The following is an 8,276-nucleotide window of genomic DNA, read 5'->3' as shown; positions in this document are numbered from 1 at the left end:
TCTGCTCCCATGACCCAAACATCTCCCACTAGACCCCACTCCCAACACTGGGCTTCAACATTCAATATGAGATTTGGAGGGGGGCAAACAAATGAAACTATAGCAACAACATTTCATATACTTTGTAAATTTGCCTAGGAAGATAATACAATACATGCTATTCAGTTATTTGCATTTTTATCAAATATTCAGCACATGCAAATCTGCCTCCTTCTTTCTAAAGGCTACTCAGTGTTACATTGTATAGGTGTATCATAATTTACTTAAATAGCCACCTGTGGATGGATGCAGCGTAGTGAATGCATTTGGGAAGATCCTAGATTAGGTGAGAAAGACCTGTGAATTACCTACATGAGAGAGATGGATCAGATTAAAGTAATTCAGTGAAATAGAGAGAAGAGCTCAGATTGAAAAAAACATTAAAGAAGTAAAATCAAGAGAACTTGGTGATTTCTTATAAATGAAGAATGAGGGAGAAGAAGAGGGAGAGGACTCTTGGTTTTTTGGCTTGAACAAATAGTGATGCCAGTCTCTAAAGAGAGAAATGAAATCACCCTCACAGGAAGGGAAAGCTGATGAGCTTTGTTTTAGACATGTTGAGATTCAGGTGCCTATAAGTCCTCCCAGCGGAGATGTGGGGTAAACAGTTGGCTATATGCATCTAAGGTCAGAAGAGGGTGGAGAAATTGAAGTAGAGGTCATCAGCATATACAAGGTGATGGAAACCAGAGGAGTGAATGAAACTACCTCTAATTTTCTGGTTCTCACCTCCCTACTCAAAGTGTATGATAAGGCTCCTCCAACTCTCAATCTCCCAGGCCTATGCACATACACAGATGGAATGGTTCTACAGCCAACCCCATGATTCACTGTTTTATGACATCCAGTTCTCACATATGCATTATTCATGAACACAGAGAGAGTGACATGATAAGATCTGTGTTATGTGATGGAAAAGTGAAAGCTGGGAAGCTATGAATTATTTTTCTAGTCATCTATATGAATAACAATGAAGGCTTAATCTGGGCAGGGAAATGGGCACGAATATGAGGTAATAGATTTGGGAAATATTTGTGCTAATAACTATTAAAAGTTGTAAGGTACATAGGCCCACTAAGATCATCTTAAGTGGTACATTATAAAGATGAATGAGAAAATGAGAAATGTGAAACTATCTACATATTTTCAGCAGGTTTCAAAGAGATATGGATCATCATCAAGGTATCACACAACTCATACCACCTGATATTGTTTCAACTTATTCATGATTTTCTGCTTATTCATGACTTTGCTACCTGATGGCTTTGACTTTTATAGTGTTTTCTGCATTGCTGTCTGTTTCTGTGTTTCTCTACCATTTGTGTACTTCTCTGTATGTCTCACATTCAAATTCCGCAAGAGACAGTATAATTGGTTGAAGAAATCGTTAGCCAGCGTGGGGTAGCCTTGTGAAGAAGAAAGCTTTTACGCCTCCTCATGGGTTGCCTCTAAGTCACATTTTGTTTTTTCTTCAGTGGAGCTTTTATGTATTAATACAAATATGCAATCCCCTGAATTTCAAAAGAAAAGCTTTATTTTTATATTATGTATTTCATTTATATTTTTATTTTTGTATTTAGGTTGTTGCCAGGTGAGGCTGGTAGTGTCTAACTCCTAAAAAGCCTCACAAGCTGTGAAGAATTTCTCATAGTCTTTTCTTCAATCTTGTAGTCTAAGAAAACTAATTTGAAAAATATCAAGACCGGGTTTATCTCTCAAGGTAAACTCTAATTAAATAGGTCCGTAGAGTGACGTATGCACTAGAATGTCAATTTATCAATTTATGGTGAGAAATTTTAAATTATAAAGAACTAAATTATTAAGTCCATGTGACTTATACATTCTCTCTCAATGGGAAGACTCACATCTTTATTCCCTGCAAGAAGAAAAGGAAGGGTAAAGGACACAATGTGCATGCCAGCTGAGACTGTCCACTCCCATCTTCTTAAGAGCTTTTTTAGGAAGCCTCACCCAAAAACTTCTGCTTATGTTACAGCAACCAGAACCATGTTACAGGGCCATATTTATCTGCAAGGTGAACTGAGAAATATAGGTTTTGGCTGGACACACTACCACCCACAAATAAATTGTGATTCCCCTTAGAAATAGAAAAAATTGAATATTAAGTATATAACCATCAGTCTCTTCACAAAAATAAACCCAAAAAGTAGAAGACATGGGATATAGGAAATGTAGAATCCATTACAGGAGAAAAGTAGAGATTTTCCAGATTGACAGTGAAGAATGAGGGTTATACAGAAAGCCTAGAGAGAAACAGATACAGATTGAGTCAGGAATATTAAAGACTCTAGGAGCAAAATGGAACCAATTATTCGAGACATTTTTTCCTGCTGACAGTAGCTATGCTGCTCCATGAAAAATTGGGACTAATTAATAAAGGCACAGCACACTAGGCAAATGAAAATAAAGAATTATTACTACAGAAAAAAAATAACAGTTTTAGAAGTCATGTGTTGGGAATAACGCTCAAAATCCTAAGGAAATTGAACACTCAAAACAAAGGATTCTTAGCAAAGCAATTTTACTTTTGCACAGAGGGGTGCTTCTCCTTGGCCAGTCACCATGAGAGCACACCTGAACAAAGGGTCACGAGAGCTTTTATTCCTGGCGCAAGTCCTGCCGCAGTACCCTTTCCCCATTGGTCGGGGTTGGGCCGTACAGTCTAAACTATTCCCGGTTAACTAAACATTTGACACTTTTTTAGATTAGGTGGGCATGTAAGGGAGAGAGGGAAAAGGTGAAGTGGTGTCTGCAATGAGCTAGAGAGCTAGTCTTCTTTCCAAGTAAGGGAAAGAATGTGAGCTGGTACTGATAACGCCTGGTACTGTGGCATGTCTGGGCATGTAACAAAGGCAGAAAGGAAGAAAAAAGGAGAAAAAGGAAAAAGGGGTGGGGGGATACTATGAATTAAATAATAAAGGATTGATCAGGCTATTTGAAGAGAAACCTCATCATATCCCACAGATTTCCCCTTCTTCTTTTTATAACTTTTTCTCTTCAAATCTTTTTAGCATAATTTGGCTCTGTTGTTCTACTTGGTCTTCTAGAAGGAAAAGCTAATTTGAATAAGGGGGAGGAGGATCATAAGAGGTTTTAGTGAGAGCTGTTTCAGTAAGTCTTTATATTAGTCCTTGGGCACAGGGTATAATACAACATCCTACAAGAATAAGCAACCCTATTCCAATGGCCAGAGACATGAGGATTGAGGACATAAGTCCCTTCCATCTACCGAACAAATTTCCCATTAAATTTGTGAAGGGATCGTTTAGTCCAGAGTTTTTGGCTAGTTCATTTGATAAGGCAGTAAGACCTTGTAATGCTTTAGTTATGGTCCCACTAGGAGCAGTATTATTAGGGATATAAGCACAGCATTGGGTCCCGATCATGACACAAACTCCACCCTCCTTTGCTAATATCATGTCTAATGCTATCCTATTTCCCCAGGCCATTTGACTGGTGGGTCCTAGTTGTTCAGCCATCCCTTTAATAGCATCTCTAGTATAATTAATAAATCATTGTTGATTGTAATAAATGTAATTTATCCAATTCACATTTTTATTTACAGTTAACCACCAGAAGAGCATAGATTCAAATCCGGCAGTTATTTGATTTTGGTCCTTAAATTCATTTGGCAATCCTCTTGGGACCCCAATGGCATCTATATAAACATGAGAATTGAAGGACCCATGGTGGGGGCCTCTTTTGTTTGATGATATTTGGTTCCTGTCCTTTCTGGTTGATGAAATATCAGGGTGAAAGGGATGGCCAATTGAATTAGAGCACAAATTCTGCTCCAGTTACTTGGCAGAGTGTCCAGTATTGGTCTACCACAATACCACCACACATCCTCTCGAGGATGGCTAAGGGCAGACTGATGGGTAAGCTCTTGGAAGGACTTAAGCTTACTGCATCCTGTTAAGGCTTCCAGGAATGCCAAGTTTTCTCCCTGTCATGAGAGACATGAAGTAAAATTGGCATTGGGAGATGGATGCTGAATGGCCCTCGGGGGCAGACCCACAGGGTGTCGAACTTCAGGGAACAGCAGAGAAAGAGCTTGGCATGATTTATTGCCCCAGGCTGAGGGGTTTTGGAAGAGAGCTACCATACAGCTCATGCCCGGTCAGCTGGAAGACCATCTAAGCGGAACGGGGACAATCTGGGCTTCTGGTCTTACTGTGCACACAAGCGTAACATTCACTTTTGTTTGAAGTGCGGACGGAATATTTAATTGTTTCCAGCCAAGCATTTGCATCTTGATATCCTGTTTCTAGAGCTATAGTTTGCCTTAAGTTTTCTACCTCCACAACTGTTACCTTGGTTGGGTCATTTTGGAGATGTGAGGAGGACGTTGGACTCGCTATACCTGGGGAGAGCGTTGGGTTCCACATGTCTCCTGGACTCTGGGCCTGAATTCCTTTATTGTTGTTAACCAGTGGTTTAAATAACCTTAGGGAGAAGATTCCTATAGGGCCTTATCCTGAAACATCTGCTTCTAACCCATACCGTTCAAATACAGAGGGTTCTTGGGCTATTGTCCAGGGATGATTTATAATCAGCAACAAGGGGTAACAGTGCAACAGCTTACAATTTGGTGGGGTGTGGCCACGGACTAGTTGGAGTTTTTGTCTTAGTCCCCGTAACCTATTTGAAGCAGGCGGCCTGGCTGTCCACCCTTTGTACTTAGTGGTCCACCAAACATCTGCCCAGTCACTACAGGGACGTTTTGAAGTTCCATACTTATACTTGGTTGACTCTTTGCAGTATGGACATAGATACTTATCACCATGGGATACCTTCCTTTGAGCTTGCTCATCTCCGCACGGGATGACTGAACAGACGTCAAACAGAAGGGTTAAAGGTTGGCTAGCCTGAGTTACCATTGATGACAAGATGACCTTCTGTTGAAAAGAAAATAAGTAAGTGATTAGTAATCTCTTTTTAGAGTTAGTTTGGTGGGGGTGAGCCCAGGAGTGACAGTGCATGATTCTGAAGGTGGCAGCGTCTTTTTGACTTGGGTGTGATAAGTCCATCCTCTTTCCGCTGTCCGGACTGTAGTCTCAGTAATTAGGAGCACTAGGTAGGGTCCTTCCCAAGCTGGTTCGAGTTTCCCTTCCTTCCACCCTTTGATGAGGACATAGTCTCCAGGCTGATGTTGATGTGCTGGAAACTCCAGGGGTGGCGCCTGTGCTAGGAGACCTTTAGTCTTAAGGCAGGAGAAGATAGAGGATAGACAAAGTGTATAGATTTTGAGGAAATGATCTTTAGTTTCAAATGTAGGGATGTCAGCAGCAGAGTGTAAGTAGGGCAATCCGTAGAGCATTTCATAAGGGGAAAGGCCAATATCTCTCCAAGGGGCAGTCTGGATTCTTAACAAAGCAATAGGAAGACATTTAGTCCATGGCAATCGGGTTCTAAAACTAACTTAAGTGGTTTTTTAGAGTCTGATTCATCTGCTTTACCCTTCCTGAGGAGGATGGATGCCAGGGGGTATGATATTCCCAATTTATATCTAGTACCTGGGCTAACTTCTTAATGACATGTGCAGTGAAATGGGTTCCATTATCTGAATCAATATTTTCCACTAGTCCAAATCTGGGTACGATGTTTTCAATTAATGCTTAGACTACATTATTGGTGGTTGCACTTGAGAATGGGATAGCCTCTACCCAGTGGGTAAAGTGGTCTATTACTACTACTAAGTATTTTAAGCAACCAGCTGGGGGCATTTCGGTATAATCAATCTGAACACTTTGAAATGGTCTCAGCCCTGGATTCCTTCCTCCAAGGGGCAATTTCCTTAGAATCTGCTTATTAGTCTTTTTTACGTATTAAACAACTATCTATAACTTGTTTGGCCAGGGTGTAAATTCCTATATACCCATAAACCTGGAGAACTGCATCATACATTGCTTGGGGTCCCCATTGGGTCCCCTGATGTAATTGAGACGAGATCTCCCTCGTGAGAGGTATTGACAACATCTCCCTTTGATCTGATAATATCCATTTCCCTTCTGTGTTCTCTTTAGCTCCTATTCTTATTAACTTCTCTTTTTCAATGGAAGCGAAAATGGGGGTTGCAGTAGGAGAAGGAAGGCATGGAGTTAAATGAAAAACAGGCATTTCAGAAGAAACGGCAGCTTGCTTTGCTATCTGATCTGCGAGATTATTTCCCCGACTTGTGAAAGACAAGTCCCTCTGATGCCCTGGGACATGTACAATAGCTATCTCTTCTGGCAATTGGAGATTATAGAGGACACAAGCAATTAGTTCTCTATGAACTAAATCTTGGCCTCTACTATTGGTAAGACTCCTCTCCATCCAAATTTTTCCAAATGTGTGTGCCACCCCAAAGGCATACTTAGAGTCAGTATAGATAGTTCTTTCTTGGTTTTGTAAATGTTCTAAAGCTTGGCTGAGTGCAAACAGTTCACATGTCTGGGCAGACCAATTATTAGGCAGTCTTCCTGATTCTACTTCTTCAAGCGTTTCTCCATCAATCACTGAATACCCATGATGTCTTTTCCCTTCAATTACGCAGGAGGAGCCATCTATGAATAAGTGCCCCCCTCTCTTGAAGGGAGTTTCTCCTAAGTCTGGTCGAACTTTTGTATGGTAATCAATCAGATCTAAACATGCGTGCTCTCTTTTTAAGTTTGGATCCCCTATCAGAAAGGCTTCTGGATTAAGTGAATTTTCAGTAGTTAATATTAAATCATCTTTTTCCAGTAGGATAGCCTCATATTTTAAAATCCTTGAGTCAGTGATCCACCTTCCTGCTTTCTGACTTAAAATAGTTCTAACTTGGTGGGGTGTGCTTACTGTTAACTTTCCTCCAAAGGTTAAATTCCTACTTTCTTCAACTAATACTGCTGTAGCCGTGATGGATTGGATACATTGGGGCCACTCAAAAGTGACTGGGTCTAAGACCTTTAACAAGAAGGCCACGGGCTGTCAATTGCCTCCATGCCCTTAGGTAAGAACTCCTAGAGCTACCTCATTATTTACGTTAACAAAAACTCTAGGGAGTGTAGAGCTAGAATAGGGGCAGTTATGAGCATCTCTTTTAATTCCTCAATTTGCTGGATTTCCTCAGAAGTCCACAAGAGACAATCAGGTTTGCACTGGGCAAGTTTCTCATATAGAAGTTTACTTTTTAATGCAAATGTGTCAATCCATAAACAGCAATATCTAATTAGTCCTAAAAATTTCCTGAGTTCTTGTTTATTTTGAGGCAGGGGTAGAGAAACAATTCCCTCCACTCTTTCAAGGCCTATTCTTCATTTACCAGCACTGATTAGGTGACCTAAGTATTTAACTTCAGGTTCTACATACTGAAGTTTCCCTTTTGAGACCCACAACCCCTCACATTGCAAGTGATTGAGAATATGTGTAGAGAAGTCACTTACTTCCTTTATATCTTTACCAGATATAAGAAGATCATCTACGTACTGAAGCAGGCATATTTGCTTAGGGACTGTGACTTTCTCTAGTACTTGTTCTGGGATCTGACCAAAGAGGGAGGTTGGGGGAGTCTGTGAACCCCTGGGGCAAGACTGTCCATCAATATTGTTGTCTCAGCCCTGAGTGGGGGTCTTCCCACTCAAAAACAAATATATCTCAGCTATCCTTAGCCAAGGGCATGCCAGATTAAATCCGTCAATGTAAACAACTGATGATTGTATAGAATTTTGCTAAGAATGGTGTAAGGGTTAGGAACAATGGGGTGAGTGGTCTGGACTACTTGATTAATAGCTCTAAGGTCTTGCACTAATCAATAGGACCCATCTGATTTCTTGACAGGCATGATTGGGGTATTGTAAGGAGACATACAGGGTTCAAGAAGCCCATCTTTAATGAGACCCTTAATTACAGGCTTTAGCCCTACTCTGCCCTCTAAAGGAATGGGGTACTGCTTTCTCCTTACTATTTCCCCAGGATTTTTTAGTTTGATATGTATTGGAGAGATTTGGAGTTTCCCTCTATTTCCTTCCTTTGACCAGACATCAGGATGAATATATTTCTCATTTACAGCAGTGAGTAAATGTAGTGAAGTGAGGAATCCTTTAGGGCCCACTCGAAGGCCTGTACCTAGCCTTACCATTAAGTCCCTTCCTAATAGATTAGTTCCCACTTCAGGAATTAATAAAAATTGAATATGAGTAAATCAATCTTGATATCTGACTTCTGTGCTTTCTAAAAATTTTTGCCTTAAATCC

General features: G+C 40.5%; 2 annotated features.

Annotated features, from left to right (window-relative positions):
- Positions 2,262-3,461: an enhancer, noted in NCBI's record as "MED14-independent group 3 enhancer chr9:6086910-6088109 (GRCh37/hg19 assembly coordinates)". NCBI's record gives its function as "activates an origin of replication core promoter dependent on BRD2, BRD4, P300/CBP and CDK7 cofactors, and independent of MED14, by STARR-seq in HCT116 cells {active_cell/tissue: HCT116}" and the evidence as "EXISTENCE:reporter gene assay evidence [ECO:0000049][PMID:35650434]".
- Positions 4,312-5,511: an enhancer, noted in NCBI's record as "CDK7 strongly-dependent group 2 enhancer chr9:6084860-6086059 (GRCh37/hg19 assembly coordinates)". NCBI's record gives its function as "activates an origin of replication core promoter dependent on BRD2, BRD4, P300/CBP, MED14 and CDK7 cofactors, with strong dependence on CDK7, by STARR-seq in HCT116 cells {active_cell/tissue: HCT116}" and the evidence as "EXISTENCE:reporter gene assay evidence [ECO:0000049][PMID:35650434]".

Source organism: Homo sapiens, chromosome 9 (assembly GCF_000001405.40).
Source record: "Homo sapiens chromosome 9, GRCh38.p14 Primary Assembly".
NCBI lineage: Eukaryota > Metazoa > Chordata > Mammalia > Primates > Hominidae > Homo > Homo sapiens.
This window is presented reverse-complemented; position numbering and strand designations above follow the sequence as displayed.